Source organism: Homo sapiens, chromosome 1, assembly GCF_000001405.40.
Source record: "Homo sapiens chromosome 1, GRCh38.p14 Primary Assembly".
In the NCBI taxonomy this organism is placed as follows: Eukaryota; Metazoa; Chordata; class Mammalia; order Primates; family Hominidae; genus Homo; species Homo sapiens.
The window spans coordinates 13354820-13372260 of record NC_000001.11 but is presented as its reverse complement, the minus strand read 5'-3'; the positions used below and the strand labels follow the sequence as shown (position 1 = coordinate 13372260).

At 45.2% G+C, this 17441-nt stretch overlaps 1 protein-coding gene across 1 annotated transcript; it reads left to right on the top strand.

Annotated features, from left to right (window-relative positions):
* Positions 1-313: 313 nt before the first annotated feature.
* On the top strand, positions 314-3830 carry PRAMEF19 (PRAME family member 19). Its single transcript, NM_001099790.5, has 3 exons — positions 314-647; positions 1034-1612; positions 2621-3830. The coding sequence occupies exons 1-3, from the start codon at positions 361-363 to the stop codon at positions 3192-3194; spliced, it is 1440 nt and encodes a 479-aa protein (NP_001093260.3). The 5' UTR covers positions 314-360; the 3' UTR covers positions 3195-3830.
* Positions 3831-17441: the final 13611 nt, after the last annotated feature.

Genomic DNA, 17441 nt, shown 5'->3' with positions numbered 1-17441 from the left:
ACCATGTTAGCCAGGATGGTCTCGATCTCCTGACCTCGTGATCCGCCCGCCTCGGCCTCCCAAAGTGCTGGGATTACAGGCGTGAGCCACCGCGCCTGGCCAGGGTGGAGCAATGGATGAAAATTCATGGAGTAGGAGTGATCTTGCCCGCTCCTTGGAGGTTGGGAGACACTCTTCTTGGTACCAGAAGGGCAGAACTATGTCTCTGTGGCCAATTATTGCAGAGTCGAATTGGGGTAAACTAAGGACTCTTTCACACCTGACAGAGTAGTGACTTTTGGCCGAGGAGAAGTCAGGGTGTGAGAGGACTGGCCTGATAAGTTTGTCTTTTCTCTGGATTTTTCTTGCAGATTTATCAGGATGAGCTTCCAGGCCCCACGCAGACTCCTGGAGCTGGCAGGGCAGAGCCTGCTGAGGGACCAGGCCTTGGCCATCTCCGTCCTGGATGAGCTGCCCAGGGAGCTCTTCCCCCGACTGTTCGTGGAGGCCTTCACTAGCAGATGCTGCGAGGTTCTGAAGGTGATGGTGCAGGCCTGGCCCTTCCCCTGCCTCCCTCTGGGGTCCCTGATGAAGACGCCTGATCTGGAGATCTTACATTATGTAGTGGATGGGATTGATTGCCTGCTTGCCCAAAAGGTTCGCCCCAGGTGAGGTGACCCAGGTGGGGAGGGCCCAGGTGTCCAGGGACTAAGCAGCTGGGTCAGACAAATTGGGAACCTGGGGTGGCCCAGGGGCTTCTGATGGTGCCAGTGAGAAAGCTGGGAACGTTCTTGGCTATTGCCCAGCTCCTCTGGGAAAGGACTGCTCACCATACAGGGTCCACTGAGGAAACAGGAACCTGCCTGCTCCCAGTGGAAGGTAAAGGCACTAGAAGTGGGTACCAGGCAGAATCCAAGGGGGAAAGGGATGGAGAAGAGACAGAAGGAGGGGCGCTGAGGAAAAAAGCAGCTGAAGTCCTTGATGTGGAGTGAAAGCCCAGGTCAGGGGTGGGTCCTTGTCTACGTTCTGAGCTTTTCCCCTATGTTACTCACAGGAGGTGGAAACTTCAAGTGCTGGAAATGCGGGATGTTGATGAGAATTTTTGGACCATATGGTCTGGAGCCAGGCCCCTGTCCTGCTCCCCAGAGGCCATGAGTAAGAGACAGACAGTGGAGGACTGTCCAAGGACAGGAGAGAAGCAGCCCTTGAAGGTGTTCATGGATGTTTGCCTCAAGGAAAAATCCGTGGATGAAGATCTGAGCTTCTTCTCTGGGTGGGTGCAGCACAGAAGACGTTCAGTACACCTGTGCTGTACTAAGGTGGTAAATTATTCAATGAACATTCTAAATTTCAGAAACATATTAGAAACAGTATACCCAGACAGTATCCAAGTATTGGAAATTTGGAACATGTGCTGGCCGTGTATGGTAGCAGAGGTTAGCCGTTACCTGAGCCAGATGAAGAATCTTCGAAAACTCTTCATCTCCGATGGCTGTGGTTACCTGCCAAGCTTTGAGAGCCAAGGACAGTTAGTTGCTGAATTCAGCTCTGTGTTCCTCAGGCTGGAGTACCTCCAGATGCTTTATATGAGAAGGATCCGCTTCTTCGAAGGCTACCTGGACCAGCTGATCAGGTGAGGAAAGATGGTGAGCTTTCTCTGGGGGACACAGCACAGCCTTTTTTTGTTACAGTAAACACTAGTCAGCATCTACTGTGTGCCAGCCACTGGAGATGTCCAGGGAAGGGGATACTAGAATGCATTGTCCTGTTTGGTGCTCTATATCCTGAAGTGGGTATCACAGGATCGCTCCAGTAAGGGCAGAGGGATGACCTGGCATAGACGCTACAGAGAGGGACATCGTGTAGGGAGCTGGTTAGTGGGGGGTTCAGCTCCAGTGAGGGTGAATTCCTTTTAGGAATTCCTTGTTAGGAAGTGTGTTTAAAGTTAATATGATAAGTATGAATAGCTTTTGTGAATTCCTTGTTAGGAAGTGTGTTTAAAGTTAATATGATAAAAAAGAGGCAACAGAGGGGAGGGTGTAAAAGAAGAGAAAGTGCACCAAACCTGTGCGTTTCACAGAGGAAGCTCTGTCCTCACAGCTTAGTGAACGTGAATGATCCTCTCTCTGATTCCCTGTCTGTAAAAGGTTGTTTTGAACTCCAGGAAAGGTAATTGACATGGGAAATGCGTGCTTCTGGGGATGGAGGTGAGGGAGTAGGCACGAGAGTGGTACAAAGTGACAGGTGGTTTGCAGATGTGGCCATGTCAGGGAGCCTCTGAAAGCAGGTAGCCCTAGCTGATGTCCCTAGACCTTGCTCAGGTCAGTTCTTTGGGCATCTCTTCCACTGGGCTCCTGTGGCCCAGAGATGAAGCTTTCTGCTGGAAGATGAAGAAAAGAGGCTTTAGAGATTTTATGGCCTTGAACCAATCACACCAGTGATGGTGAAAGGACTGAGCCTAAAATGGGACTGCCTCTGAATGATCCAAGTCCTCATCAGGCAGCACCTTGCGGGAGGACCATGATTAGATGATGAGAACAAACTTGTGTTTGGGCAAAACAGGCTCTTCCCTTGACGTTATTTTCTACCACCGTCCTCTAACTGGTGCCATTGCCCAGTACTAACTTCTTGCTCTCCCCAGGTGCCTCAAGAGCCCGTTGGAGACATTGGCATTAACTTATGGCTCCCTAGATGAAGAGGACTTGAAATGTCTGCCCTGGTACCCAAGTCTCAGTCAACTGAAGCAGCTGAATCTGAGTCATGGTACACTGCGCTTCATCCGTCTTGAGCCCCTCCGAGCTCTGCTAGAGAAAGTTGCTGCCACTCTTCAGACCCTCTTCTTAGTGGACTGTGGGATTGGGGACTCCAAACTCAGGGTCATCCTGCCTGCCCTGAGCCGCTGCTCCAACCTCACCACTTTCTGCTTTCACGGCAATGACACGTCCATGGATGGTCTGAAGGACCTGCTGCGCCACACAGGCAGGCTGAGCAATTTGAGCCTGGAAACATATCCTGCCCCTCGGGAGAGTCTTGACAACAGGGGTCGTGTCATTTCGGAGCTCCTCACCCCACTTCAGGCTGAGCTGATGCGTATACTGAGGGAAGTAAGGGAGCCCAACAGGATCTTCTTTGGTCCCGTCTCCTGCCCTTGCTGTGGCATGTCACCCACTGAGCAACTGGAGTTCAATTTTTGCTTGCGGGGAAGGCCTGCCTAGTGGGGTGGAGGTATAAAAAGCTTTTTCTCCAGGCACTTGGAAACTAAAATCTAGGACATAGATATCTTTTATTTTTCTTTTTCCTTATTTTACAATTTTACAGCTTTTATTTAAAAATTTGAGACAGGGTTTCCCTATGTTGTCCAGGCTGGTCTCAAACTCTTACGCTTAAGGGAGCCCCCTGCTTGGCCTCCCAAGATTCTGGGATTACAGGCATAAGCAGCTGTGCCGGGTCTATAGGTGTATTATAAAGGGAGCAGAGAAACCTCTGTTTCAGGCATGTGCTTTCTGTGAGTGGGAAAAAAAACACAAAAAAACCCAGCAGGGGGCAGCACTGGGGAAAAGGTTGAATGGAGTCACTGAGACTCAGGGATCTGTGTCCTAGACAGTCAGAAATAGAACCTGAAGTTCTAGAGTGAAGGAGTTATCTCAGCAAGGATGGATACAAAGAAACGTCGGAAGTAAAGGGAACCTAAATGGAAACTCTCTGCTGTCCTTCATGATTGATTAGCCTGTTTCAGCAATTTATACATCAGAAATCTTTAGTTCCTGATGAATTAAAAAAAGAGGTACTAGTTCATCTGTGATTTAAGTTCATCCGCAGGAAATAAAGGAATCAAAATAAACTTCATTTTGTTGTTGTGTTTTTTTTCTTTTTTTTTTGTTTTGTTTTAGACGGAGATTCGCTCTTGTTGCCCAGGCTGGAGTGAAATGGCACGATCTTGGCTCACCACAACCTCCGCCTCCTGGGTTCAAGCGATTTTCCTGCCTCAGCCTCCTGAGTAGCTGGGATCACAGGCATGCACCACCATGCCCTGCTAATTTTGTATTTTTAATAGAAATGGTGTTTCAACATGTTGATCAGGCTGGTCTCGAACTCCTGACCTCAGGTAATCTGCCCACCTTGGCCTCCCAAAGTGCTAGGATTACAGGCATGAGCCGCCGAGCCTGACCTGTTTTTGTTTGTTTGTTTGTTTTGTTTTTTTGACGGAGTCTTGCTTGGTCACCTAGGCTGGAGTGCAGTGGTGTGATCTTGGCTCACTGCAGCCTCCAACTCCCAGGTTCAAGGGAATTTGTATTTTTAGTAGAGATGGGGTTTCACCATGTTGGCCTGACTGGTCTCAAACTCCTAACCTCAAGTGACCTCAAGGAAGCCTCCCAAAGTGCTAGGATTACAGGTGTGAACCACCGTGCCCAGCCTAAACTTTGATTAATTTATGCCCATTCTTTACCTCTCCAAGTCATCTCTTCCTTACTTTCTCCTGTGGTTATTTACTGGGTTCATCCACAAAAGATGCATGCCTGGGACCTGGAACATTCTGTGTGGGCAGTGATGATGAACCATTGAGTCAACCCTCTTCTTGTCAGGGGCCCTCACTGCTCCCCAGATACTGAGACCCTGCTCACTCCCAATGGGCAGATCTGGGAGAATCGGTTCCTGATCATTGGCCATGTCAGGAAAGGGCTTCACTGCACAAGGTGAGGCCCCCTGCCTTGGGAGGGAATGGCCATAGTGTGTACTAGTGGGAGCCTCATGGCATCACCAACACTTGCCTGTCCTCATGGTGGCTAGTGGGTTTTACTGAATTAATGTAATTGTGTGTAGTAAAGATGTCCAATTTCTCTTAGAAAAATGCTAAAATCATTTAGGTAGATAACACATTCTAAATATTTCTAGCCCACATCAGTATGCATCCTTTTGGAAATTAACTCATTTCAATGAGACATCTTCCTGTAACACCTCCCTTCTCTCCTTATCAAAAAATAGGAAAACCAGGGCACTGACCTGTCCTCATGGTGACTAGTGGGGTTTACTGAATTAAAGTGATTGTGTCCAGTAAAGATAATCAATTTCTCTTTTAGAATAATGCTAAAATCATTTAGGTGGATAATACATTCTAAATATTTCCAGTCCATATTAATGGAAATATACATCCTTTTGGAAACTAACTCATTTCAGTGAGAGATCTTCCTATCACACCTCCCTTCTCTCCTTATCAAGAAGCAGGAAAACCTGGGCTTGACCTAGCTAGCGCTCCTACACTGCCATGAGAATCCCTTTGGGACTTTCCCCATTTGGGACTGGCAGCACTCTTGAGGTTTACTAAAACTTAGGTAAACCTGGGCTTAAGCCACCACCTGGAGCCAAGAAGGAAGCAGCAACCTAGTGGTGAAGATTCACTAAGGGAATGTATTCAGTCCAAACCAAAGCAAGCCAGACAGAGAAAACTGGAGTAAATCATTCTTCCTTCAGTGCAAAAATACAGATCTATATCTACAACAAACTAGAGCAAATAGGAAACTGTGACCTCCCCAAAATGACAAAGCAGAAATCTAGTGGGTGACTCTAAAGAGATGGTGATTTGTCAGCTCTCTAACCAATCACTGAAAATCGCAGGTTTTCAAACTTGTATTTTAGTTCCAGAAATACAGATGCAGGTTTGTTCTATAGATAATAGACAAACTATCAGATAAATAATTTTGGTAGTTTTTGTTTGTTTGTTTGTTTTTTGAGGCGGCGTCTCACTCTGTCACCCAGGCTGGAGTGTAGTGGCATGCTCTCAGCTCACTGCAACCTCTGCCTCCCAGAGTCAAGCAATTCTCCTGCCTCGGCCTCCCAAGTAGCTGAGACTACAGACTTGCATTACCACGCCAGGCTAAGTTTTTGTATTTTTAGTAGAGACAGGGTTTCACCATGTTGGACATGGAGAACTCCTGACCTCAAATGATGCACTGCCTCAGTGCTGGGATTAGAGGTGTGAGCCACCATGTCCAGCCAGTTTTGGTAGTTTGTTGATACCCACTCCCCTTCCACCCTCCACTCTCCAGTAGTCCCGGGCGTCTATTGTTACCATTATTATGTCATGTATACTTAATATTTGGCTCCCATTTATAAGTGAGAACATGTGGTGTTTGGTTTTCTGTGCCTGCTTTAGTTTGCTTAGCATAACGGCTTCTAGCTCCATCCGTGTTGCAGCAAAAGGAGGATGAGGACTTAATGAAAGGGCATTATCTTGTTCTTGTTTCAGGCTGTGTAGGTTTCCATGGTGTATCTGTACCATATTTTGTTAATCCAGTCCACCACTGATGGGCATTCCAGTGGATTCCACGTCTTTGCTGTTGTGAATAGTGCTGCGATGAGCATCCACATGTGACCACTGCCACTCAACATGTGCTAGAGTCTCACGTTACTGGAGTGTCTCTATATTACCCGGGCTGGTCCAGAATGGCCAGGCTCAGGCAGGGCTCCAATCTTAGCCTTACAAAGTATTGGGATTACAGGCATGAGCCACCACACATGGCTCTATTTTATTATAACATATATTTCTAGGCCGGGTGTGGTGGCTCACGCCTGTAATCCCAGCACTTTGGGAGGCCGAGGCGGGTGGATCACGAGGTCAAGAGATGGAGACCATACTGGCCAACATGGTGAAACCCCGTCTCTACTAAAAATACAAAAATTAGCTACGTATGGTGGCACGTGCCTGTAATCCCAGCTATTCAGGAGGCTGAGTCAAGGAGAATCGCTTGAACCCGGGAGGCGGAGATTGCAGTGAGCCGAGATCGTGCTGCTGCACTGCAGCCTGGGCAAAGAGTGAGACTCCCTCTCAAAAAAAAAAAAAAAAGCTATAATTCTATAGGCCAAGCAAGGTGGCTCACGCCTGTAATTCCAGCACTTTGGGAGGCCGATGTGGGTGGATTGCTTGAACCAAGGAGTTCTAGCCTGGGCAACAAAGCAAAATCCTGTCTCTACTTAAAAAGGAAAAAAAAGATATATTTCTGTAGCTTATGGCCTGTAGGCTCGCCATGCCTCAGGCTCGAAAGTGCAGCTTTCAGAAAAGATCCTTCACTGGTATTTCCAGGGAGGAAGTGATGAGGCAGGAATTTATGCTGAGTGGGTTGGCCAAGTATACACACTCAACAGGTCATGAAATGGGCTATGAGTATTCTTGAAGGGGGCCTAGCACATGCATACTGAATAAACATTCATGTGGCTTATGTCCCATGTTCACTTTGGGGTGGAGACTTCACATTTCTTTTTCTTTTTGAGACAGAGTCTTGCTATGTCACCCAGGCTGGACTGCAATGGCACCGTATCAGCTCACTGCATCCTCCACCTCCCAGGTTCAAGCGATTCTCCTGTGTCAGCCAAGTAGCTGAGACTACAGGTACATGCCACCACACCTGGCTACTTTTTTTTTTTTTTTTGAGATGGAGTCTCGCTCTGTCACCCAGGCTGGAGTGCAGTGGTGCAATCTCCGCTCACTGCAAGCTCCACTTCCCGGGTTCACGCCATTCTCCTGCCTCAGCCTCCCCAGCAGCTCAGACTACAGGCACACGCCGCCACGCCCAGCTAATTTTTGTATTTTTAGTAGAGACGGGGTTTCTCTGTGTTAACCAGGATTGTCTCGATCTCCTGACCTTGTGATCCGCCCGCCTCGGCCTCCCAAAGTGCTGGGATTACAGGCGTGAGCCACCGCGCCTGGCCCACTTTTTCTATTTTTAGTAGCGATAGGGTTTCACTATGTTGGCCAGGCTGGTCTGGAACGCCTGACCTCAGGTGATCTGCCGCCTCAGTCTCCCAGAGTGTTCCAAAGTGCTGGGATTACAGGCGTGAGCCACCGTGCTGCGCCGAGACTTCATGTTTCAATGCATTGCAGCTAGACCCCCCCATATCAAATGGTGCATCAGGGACATGAAGACGCTCGCGTGCTAAGTCTCTTTCAAGTGGCCAGAAGCAGTCAACGCTCAGAGGCCTCTCATCAGCAGAAAGTTACTGGAATCAATCTCTTGTCCAATCAAAGCTGGAGTCATGGCTTGTGGAACAGGGGGTCAGTTAGTCAGAATCTGGGATGGATGAGCTGCAATCATTTCAATATTGCTTATCTTAGGGCCAGTGCTTGTTCAGCTGCTAGAGAGAGAAAAACCCTGTGGCAGTTAGAATATAGTTCATTCAGCTGGGCACAGTGGCTCTTGCCTGTAATCCCAGCACTTTGGGAGGCTGAGGCGGGTGGATAACCAGGTCAGCAGGTCAAGACCAGCCTGGCCAACATGGTGAAACCCTGTCTGTACTAAAAATACAAAAATTAGCCAGGTGTGGTGGCATGCACCTGTAATCCCAGCTACTCGGGAGGCTGAGGCAGGAGAATTGCTTGAACCTGGGAGGCAGAGGTTGCAGTGAGCCAAGATCATGCCACTGCACTTCAGCCTGGGCTACAAAGTGAGACGCTGCCTCAAAAAAAAAAAAAAAAAGTATATAGTTCATTTTTTAAGGGTAGGGGCCCTTGACTTAACCCTTGCCTGGTAAGACCTTAGGTCCTGTATATAACTTGGTATCTTATTACCCTAAATAGTCAATTCAGTCAGCCTTATAATCTCTATTTTAACATGAATGCTGGTCAGTTTTTGTGTCTCAACCATGAAAGGAAGGAAGTAAAATGAGACGTGTCTATCCTCCCATCCTGCCATGGCCAGGAACTCAGTTTTAAAGATTTCTCTGGGTACACTTGGCCGAGAGGGAATCTGTTCAGTTCATAGGGGGAGCTTAGGATTTTATTTTTAGTTTTCAGAACGAGGGATGAATAATCATGGAGGCTTCTGCTGGGAGGGAAAAAGTAGAAAAAATGCATTAATTTCACTCTTCCTGTATGCCAGGCCCTATGCCAAGCCCTTAAGTTGCCCCATCTCATTCGATTCTACCAGGGTCACACAGGTGGTGGACATCATCATCCTCATTTTTCAGGAAAACTGAGGCTCTCGCCCAAGGTTCCTGCCCAACAACACCAGGCCCTGAGTTCTCAGCATGGTCCTCACTCAGATACTCTTTGTGTAGGGTTTCTTACCTGAGTCCTCAGCAGGGTCCTCACCTGGATGCCGTTTGTGTAGGGTTTCTCATCTGAATCCTCTGCAGGGTCCTCACTCGGATGTCCTTTGTGTAGGGTTTCTCACCTGAGTCCTCAGCAGGGTCCTCACTTGGATGCCCTTTGTGTAGGGTTTCTCATCTGAGTCCTGAGCAGGGTCCTCACTCAGATGCCCTTTGTGTAGGGTTTCTCATCTGAGTCCTGAGCAGGGTCCTCACTCGGATGTCCTTTGTGTAGGGTTTCTCACCTGAGTCCTCAGCAGGGTCCTCACTTGGATATCCTTTGTGTAGGGTTTCTCATCTGAGTCCTGAGCAGGGTCCTCACTCGGATGCCCTTTTTGTAGGGTTTCTCATCTGAGTCCTGAGCAGGGTCCTCACTCGGATGTCCTTCGTGTCGGATTTCTCACCTGAGTCCCCAGCAGGGTCCTCACTCAGATGCCCTTTGTGTAGGGTTTCTCACCATAGGGAAAGTCACTCATCACCCACAGGCACTTGACTATTATCTGCCCTCGAAGGATGTGCGATTCCAAAACACGCTTGCTCTGAGAAAAACCAGGGCCGTATCATTTTCCCCGCCAAACCGGAAAGGAGCCAAGAGATCAAAGGATGACTCAGATGAGCCCAGCTTGGCAAATAATGAGTTGATTAGGATTCACATGCAGGGCACTCCAGGGCAGCAGCAGCACAGCCCCAAAGATCTGTGCCACCTCCTGTCTCTAAACTGCTTTTAAGTGAATTTTCTGGCTCTTTGTCCACTGATTTTGAGCAATCAGCCTCTTCTGCTTGGTAGGTTCTCAGATACTGTCTGGGATGTTTGGGTTCTCGGGGACACCTGCTTCTTGGCTGGGCACAAGAGACTTGGCTTCCCACCTGGCCTTCAGGGTTCAGGCAGGGGACATGCACCCTTAAGTAACCTGATGGGACCTGTCACACCAGAATTCTATACACTTGAAGTGGGGCCAGCCTCTCCACACCTGTGGTTACTTCTCCTCAGGTGGGATGAGAGACTGAGGAAAGAAATAAGACACAGAGACAAAGTATAGAGAAAGAAATTGGGCCCAGGGGACCGGCGCTCAGCATACGGAGGACCTGCACTAGCACTGGTCTCTGAGTTCTCTCAGTTTTTATTGATTACTGTTTTCACTATCTCATCAAGGGGAACGTGGCAGGAGAACAGGGTGATAGTGGGGAGAAGGTCAGCAAGAAAACATGTGAGCAAAGGAATCTGTGTCACAAATAAGTTCAAGGGAAGGTTCTATGCCTGGATGTGCACATAGGCCAGATTTATGCTTTTCTCCACCCAAACATCTCAATGGAGTAAAGAGTAACAAAGCAGCATTGCTCCCAACATGTCCCACCTCCTGCCACAAGGCGGTTTTTCTCCTATCTCAGAATGGAACAAATGTACAATCGGGTTTTATACCAAGACATTGCATTCCCAGGGGCAGGCAGGAGACAGAGGCCTTCCTCTTATCTCAGCTGCAAGAAGCCTTCCTCTTTTACTAATCCTCCTCAGCACAGACCCTTCACGGGTGTCGGGCTTGGGGACGGTCAGGTCTTTCCCATCCCATGAGGTCATATTTCAGACTATCACATGGGGAGAAACCTTGGACAATACCTGGCTTTCCAGGGCAGAGGTCCCTGCAGCTTTCCACAGTGCATTGTGCCCCTGGTTACTTGAGAATGAAGAACGGCGATGACTTTTATCAAGCACACTGCCTGTAAATATTTTGTAAACAAGGCACATCCTGCACAGCCCTAGATCCCTTAAACCTCGATTCCATACAACACATGTTTCTGTGAGCTCAAGGTTGGGGCTAAAGTTACAAATTAACAGCATCTCAGGGCAAAGCAATTGTTCAGGGTACAGATCAAAATGAAATTTCTTATGTCTTCCTTTTCTACATAGACACAGTAACCGTCTGATCTCTCTTTCTTTTCCCTACATATCCCCCTTTTCTTTTTGAGAAAACCGCCATCATCATCATGGCCCGTTCTCACTGGTCGCTCTCTCTTTGGAGCTGCTGGATACACCTGTAGACTAACAACAGACAAAACAGATATACCAGGATTAATATGAAATTACAATAGTTGAACTTCTGATGGTTTTAACCCAAGTGACAGGGTTAAGATTTGCGAGGCCATCAGCAGCTTTCACGATTGCCTCAGTTTCTGGCACCAAATTTAAATGGGCTTTTGATGCCTCAAAAATTTGTTCTTTTAATTTTGAAATATCTAAAGTAAGATTATCTTCTCTTCCTTATAGATGACATCTAACCATGTCCCATTGATGCTCAGACTCATTATAGGCTTGGGGTTTAATACAAAAATCTGACATATTCCAGTCACACTGTAACTGAAAAAGATATTCCAAGCTCATGAGCCTGTCTCCCATCCAAATGACAGTTTGTCTAAGATCATTAATTTGGTTTGCCAATTTTTGATCTATTTGGTTCTGAGAATTCCACAATTTTGAGGAATTCTTTTGCCAATTATTTACATATTCTGCAGTTTGAACAGAGAAGTGTAAAGCAATTCCAGCAGCCACAGCAGTAGCTGTGACTGCAATAAGACCCAAAATCACTGCAATCAAAGTAAAAAAGAATCTTTTGGATCTAGTTAGAACTCCTTTTAATACTTCTATTAAAATATGGACAGATGGGGAAGCCTCCCACTGTCAGTCCATGGACATAGGGTTCCACATGCCCTCTCTTGCCCTCACCAGCAGAATACGGTGCTGCCAATCAAAAGTCGAATCAATGCAAGTAAACAATCTACAGTTTTCACAGGTTATAGTTTGGGAATCTGGTTTAATAACTATGTTTCCTACAACTAGCATATAAGGGGGTTTTACACAACTTTGCAAAGGAATTGTCAGATTGGAATTTAGGTTAATAGTATAATATGGCTTATGATCTCTTGTTCCTATAGCTTGATTTTCAGACCAAATTCTAATGTGGTGTGAGGCCACAGTAAGCTTTCATAATGCTGGATGTTCAGGACCAGTAACAGGACTAACTAACTTTGGTCGAGGTGATGAAATTCGCTTTTCACCTCATTTCCATGGATAGGGTGATTGTAACTTTCTATAAACCTGATCCAGCCTTTCAGTTAAATCACTCTCATAGGCCAGATTAATGGGCCAGATGGATGGGGCTGTGAACATGAGTGAGTCTGGCCCGTACAATTATAATAAAATTGGCCTCGAGGGGCCTGGTCTATAATAGTTCCAAATTCATTGTTTTGTAGTACCACCGCAGTATCAGGCACACATTCTTCCCAAACTGAAACTTTTGGGCCTTTTGATTCTTTGGGAATTTTATTGGGGCAAGGCTTCCCCTTAGGCCTAAATTTTAATGATCTTTGATAAGAAGAGTCCTGTAAATTATTTTATCTGTGGCCCGAGTGACATCCCACTTACTATGTGATAAGTAAATCTACTGGTGGCACTGACAGTAGGTACTTCTACCAACCAATTTGGGGTTGTAGGCATTAAATATCCTGGCACCTTCCCTAGGCAAATAGGAGGATAATGATACCCAGTGGAAATATTTATCATCAATTCTTTTTTAGGTTGGGCAGGGCAATGATCATCTGTGAGGCCTGGTACCCATGCACTATTATTAACATATACTTCAATGGGATTATCCATCCATGTGACTGCCTGAATTAAGGGCGGGAAAGGCACACAGGCCCAGTAAGTATGATTAGTTGTGGCTGCTACTGCAGTCATAGGGAGACTTACCACCGTTGATACAATCATCAAAGCTGCAGGCAGCATGTTCTCTGGAGTTTGTGTTACCCTTTTTGTTCTTCAGGCTTTTTTCAGCTAACTGTGTCAGCTTCTTTAATTGGGCCCAGGTCAGTGGCCCCACTTCCTTGGTGGATGGCAGCTTCATCTGTTCTTCTGATGTCACCATTTTGTTCACCCGGTGAGTCGATGATGCCACCATCTCCGTGGTGGCGCTTCTCTTTGCATCTCCGATGGGTTCATTGTAGAACTTTAAATGTCTAGTGGGTATCCAAACAGGAAGCTGATTTTCTCCTGGTGAAACACAAGCAAAACCTCTCCCCCATGTTATCATTTTCCCTATTTCCCTTGTCTTATTTTTGTTGTCTTTCCACCAAATCAGTTTTCCTTCATGTGGGCTGTTCTTTTTACCAGTAAAATGTTGCTCTGCAGAAGTAGTGGTCTGATTTCTATAAATGTTTAAAAAATTTAAAGTATAGAGTGCTAAATTAAGTTGCATCTGGGGAGTGTTATACTCCTTAATGTCTTTTTCCTTTTTTTGTTTCACCAATTCAGCTTTGAGTGTTCTATTAGTTCTTTCAATTATGGCCTGTCCTTGGGAATTATAGGGGATTCCTGTTATATGTGTAATTTGTCACTGATTTCACAATTTTTAAAATGTTTTACTACAGTATCCTGGCCCATTACGTGTTTTAATTTTTTTTTGGAACTCCCATGACAGCAAAACAAGATAATAAATGTCTTTTAACATGGGAAGTACTTTCTCCTGTCTGGCAGGTTGCCCATAGACATGCAAATAAGTATCAACTGTCACATGGACAAACGACAATTTTCCAAATGAAGGTACATGTGTGACATCCATTTGCCATAATGCATTAGGACATAGGCCTCTGGGATTAACTCCTGCCTCCTGAGTGGGCAGGTGTAGGACTTGACACTGGGTGCAATGTTGTACAATATTTTTTGCCTGTTTCCATGTGATATCAAATTTATTTTTTAGTCCTGTTGCATTTACATGAGTGAAAGCATGAAGTTCTTGTGCTTCTATGAATGCAGATGATGCTAGCAAGTCAGCTTGTTCATTTGCTTTAGCTAAAGGCCTTGGTAAATTAGTATGTGCTCATATATGAGTAATATAAAATGGGAAATTTCTTTTTCTTACAATTTGTTGTAACAAATTAAAGGGCTTGTTAAACTGATCATCCATACTATATTTGGTTAGGGCTGTCTCAACATCCTTTGTAGCTGTGCTACATATGCAGAATCTGATTTTCAATGACTCGTTCTTTCGGCCTGGTGTAAACCACTTTTCCATTGCTGGAACCATCAGTAAACACCGTCAGAGCATTTTCTAAAGGTTTATGTCTGGTAATTTTAGGTAAAATTCAAGTAGTCAATTTTAAAAACTGGAAGATTTTTGTTTTTGGGTAATGGTTATCAATAATTCCCACAAAATCAGCAAGAGCAATCTGCCATGCAGCAGAATTGATAAAGCCTTGTCTAAACTCTTCCTTGTTTAAAGGAACAATGATTTTATCTGGGTCACTTCCACACAATTTTATTATTTGTAATCTTGCCTGACCAATTAATGTAGCCATTTGATCCAAGTACAATGTAAAAGTCTTAATCGTACTGTCAGGAAGGAAAGATCACTCCACAAGATCTGTATTTTGAACAATAATGCCTGTTGAGAATGTGCAGTAGCAAAAATCAAAAGTTGGAGTGGGGCGAAGTGATCTATTCTATTTACTTGTGCTGACCGAATTTTTTCTTCAATTAATTCAATTTCTTTAGTTGCCTCTGGAGTTAATGTTCTTTTACTATTCAATTCTGGATCCCCACTCAAGATAGAGAACAAATTTGACATGGCATAAGTAAGGATGCCTAGAGTTGGCCAAATCCAATTAATATCTCCTAGCAATTTATGAAAGTCGTTTAATGTTTTTAATGTGTCTTTTCTTATTTCTATTTTTTGTTGTTTAAATTTTCTTTCCTCTACCCGCATTCCCAAGTAATGGACAGGAGTAGAGGTTTGAATCTTATCAGATGCTATTGTCAGTCCTGCGTTTGCAACCTCTGTCTGCAGAAATGTGTAACAGTCAATTAATGTGTCTCTCGTTTCTGCAGCACACAAAAGATCATCAACATAATGAAAGACATAGTCTGAAAACTTGTCTCTAACTGGTTGAAGAGCTTCAGCTACAAAAATCTGACAAATAGTTGGACTATTAAGCATTCCCTGAGGCAACACTTTCCACTGAAACCTGGTGGCTGGTTCTTTATTATTTATGGCTGGTATAGTAAAAGCAAATTTTTCAAAATCCTGTTTTGCTAGAGGAATGGTAAAAAAGCAACCCTTCAGATCAATTATAATTAAAGGCCAATCTTTGGGGATCATGGCCAGAGAGGGCAACCCAGGTTGGAGAGCCCCCATAGGTTGAATTACAGCGTTGACGGCTCTTAAGTCGGTTAACATGCGCCATCTGCTGGATTTTTTCTGAGTTACAAACACAGGAGAATTCAAGGCGAAAGTGAAGGCTCAATATGTCCCTTTGCTAATTGTTCTTTTGCCCATAAGTGTAAAGCCTCCAGCTTTTGTTTTGGTAGCAGCCACTGATTTACCCATACAGGTTTTTCTGTTTTCCAAGTTAATGGAATGGGTTTTGGAGGCTCTACAGTGGCCACTCCTGAAAAGGATATCCTATTCCTTTTCTTTCTTGATTTCCCTCAGCCTCAATTGGGATTTTAATGCCATCTCCATTTTTCCCTAGTCCTTTGCCAGGGAGATACCCCATTTTAGTCATGATTTTTTGACTCGTGGGGCTGTATAAGGAGGCTGGGATAGTCATCTCTGCATGCCATTGTTGTAACAAGTCTCGGCCCCATAAATTAATTGGAATAGCAGTAATCATAGGTTGAACTGTACTTTCTTGATTATCAGGTCCTAGACAATGTAAAATCATGGTGCTTTGATACACTTTTGAGGCGCTGCCCACACCGACAAGTCCTGTAACAGGCTTTTGTTTAGGCCAATTTTTTGGCCATTGATTTAAGGCGATAATGGAAACATCAGCATCGGTATCCACTAATCCTATAAACTGCTTTCCCTGAATAGTGACTGTACACACAGATCTATTCTCTGAGACCTGACGAGCCCAATGAGTGGCTTTTCCGGCAGAGTTGGTACTTCCAAGCCCTCCTGTCCTTTCCGTTTTATTTTCCCCAATTTTAATATAAGGCAAAAGCAATAATTGAGCAATTCTATTACCTGGATTGGCACTCCAGGGAACAGTGGAGCTGATCACTAACTGAATTTCCCCTTTATAATCTGAATCAATTACCCCAGTATGAATTTGGACTCCCTTCAAATTTAGACTTCATCTCCCTAAAATGAGGCCTACTGTCCCTCCTGGCAGTGGGCCATATACCCCTGTAGGAATCTTTTGCGGGGTCTCTCCAGGGAGTAAAGAAACCTTTTGAGTGGAACATAAATCTACTGCTGTGCTGCCTGCTGTGGCGGGGGACAGCTGTTGTATCGTTGTAATTGGCTGATTCCCTGAAGTGGTGGTATTTGCTGTGGTGGTTGCTGTCCCTGAAAACCCTGAAGAACAAACGGCTGAATCGGGAATGCCCCAGTTTGTTGTTGGGACTGAGGCTGGCCCCTCACCCCTTTTTCCGACAATAGTTGCCCATTTTTATCATATTTAGGACGACATTGATTAGCCCAATGTTTTCCTTTTCCATGTCTTGGACACAGGCCAGGTGGCTCTTTATTTTTACTCTGTTTATTTAAGACTGGGCAGTTCTTTTTTAGATGACCGATTTGACCACAATTATAACATTTCCCCCCAAATGCTCTAACTATCCTCCTAAAGTGACTCCGGTCATTGCTTGAGCCATTAGCATTGCCTTTCGCATAGCTCCTCCAATCCCATCACAAGCTTTCACATATTCTGTAATTACATCAACTCCTGCTGGACCTTTTCCTTTTAATGGCTTTATGGCTGGTTGAAATTCTGGATTTGACTTTTGATAAGCCATTATTTCTACAATAACTTTTTGGGCATTATCATCCGAAACAGATTTTTCAGAGGCATCTTGCAACCTTGCCACAAAGTCTGGATATGGCTCTTTGCAGCCTTGTCTAATTGAATTAGAAGAAGGGCAAGCGGTGCCTGGGCAAGTGGTGCGTGGGGCACCCAGGTGCCTGGGTCCTGAATTTTTTCCCAGTCCCTGAGGCAAAGAGCCCTTAGATGTTCAATACCCTCATTCTGCATTACTGACTGTTGGCCAATTGTGCTCCAATTTGGACCTGTTCCTAGCAATCGATCTGCATCTATATTAACAGCGGGATAAATAGCCTGATTTTTTCGTGCCTGTTCTTGTACTCCATCAATCCACCAGGTTTTAAATTGTAGGAACTGAGAGGGTGAAAGGGAAGATTTAGCCAACATTTCCCAATCATAGGGAATAAGTCTATTTCCATGAGCAATGGGATCTAATAAAGTTCTCATATAAGGGGAGTTGGGTCCATATTGTTTAACTCCTTCCTTCATATCTTTTAACATTTTCATGGTGAAAGATTCATATCTAGCCTCAGTTTGGACAGACGCTCCAGCTTGCCCCCCTTTCCCAG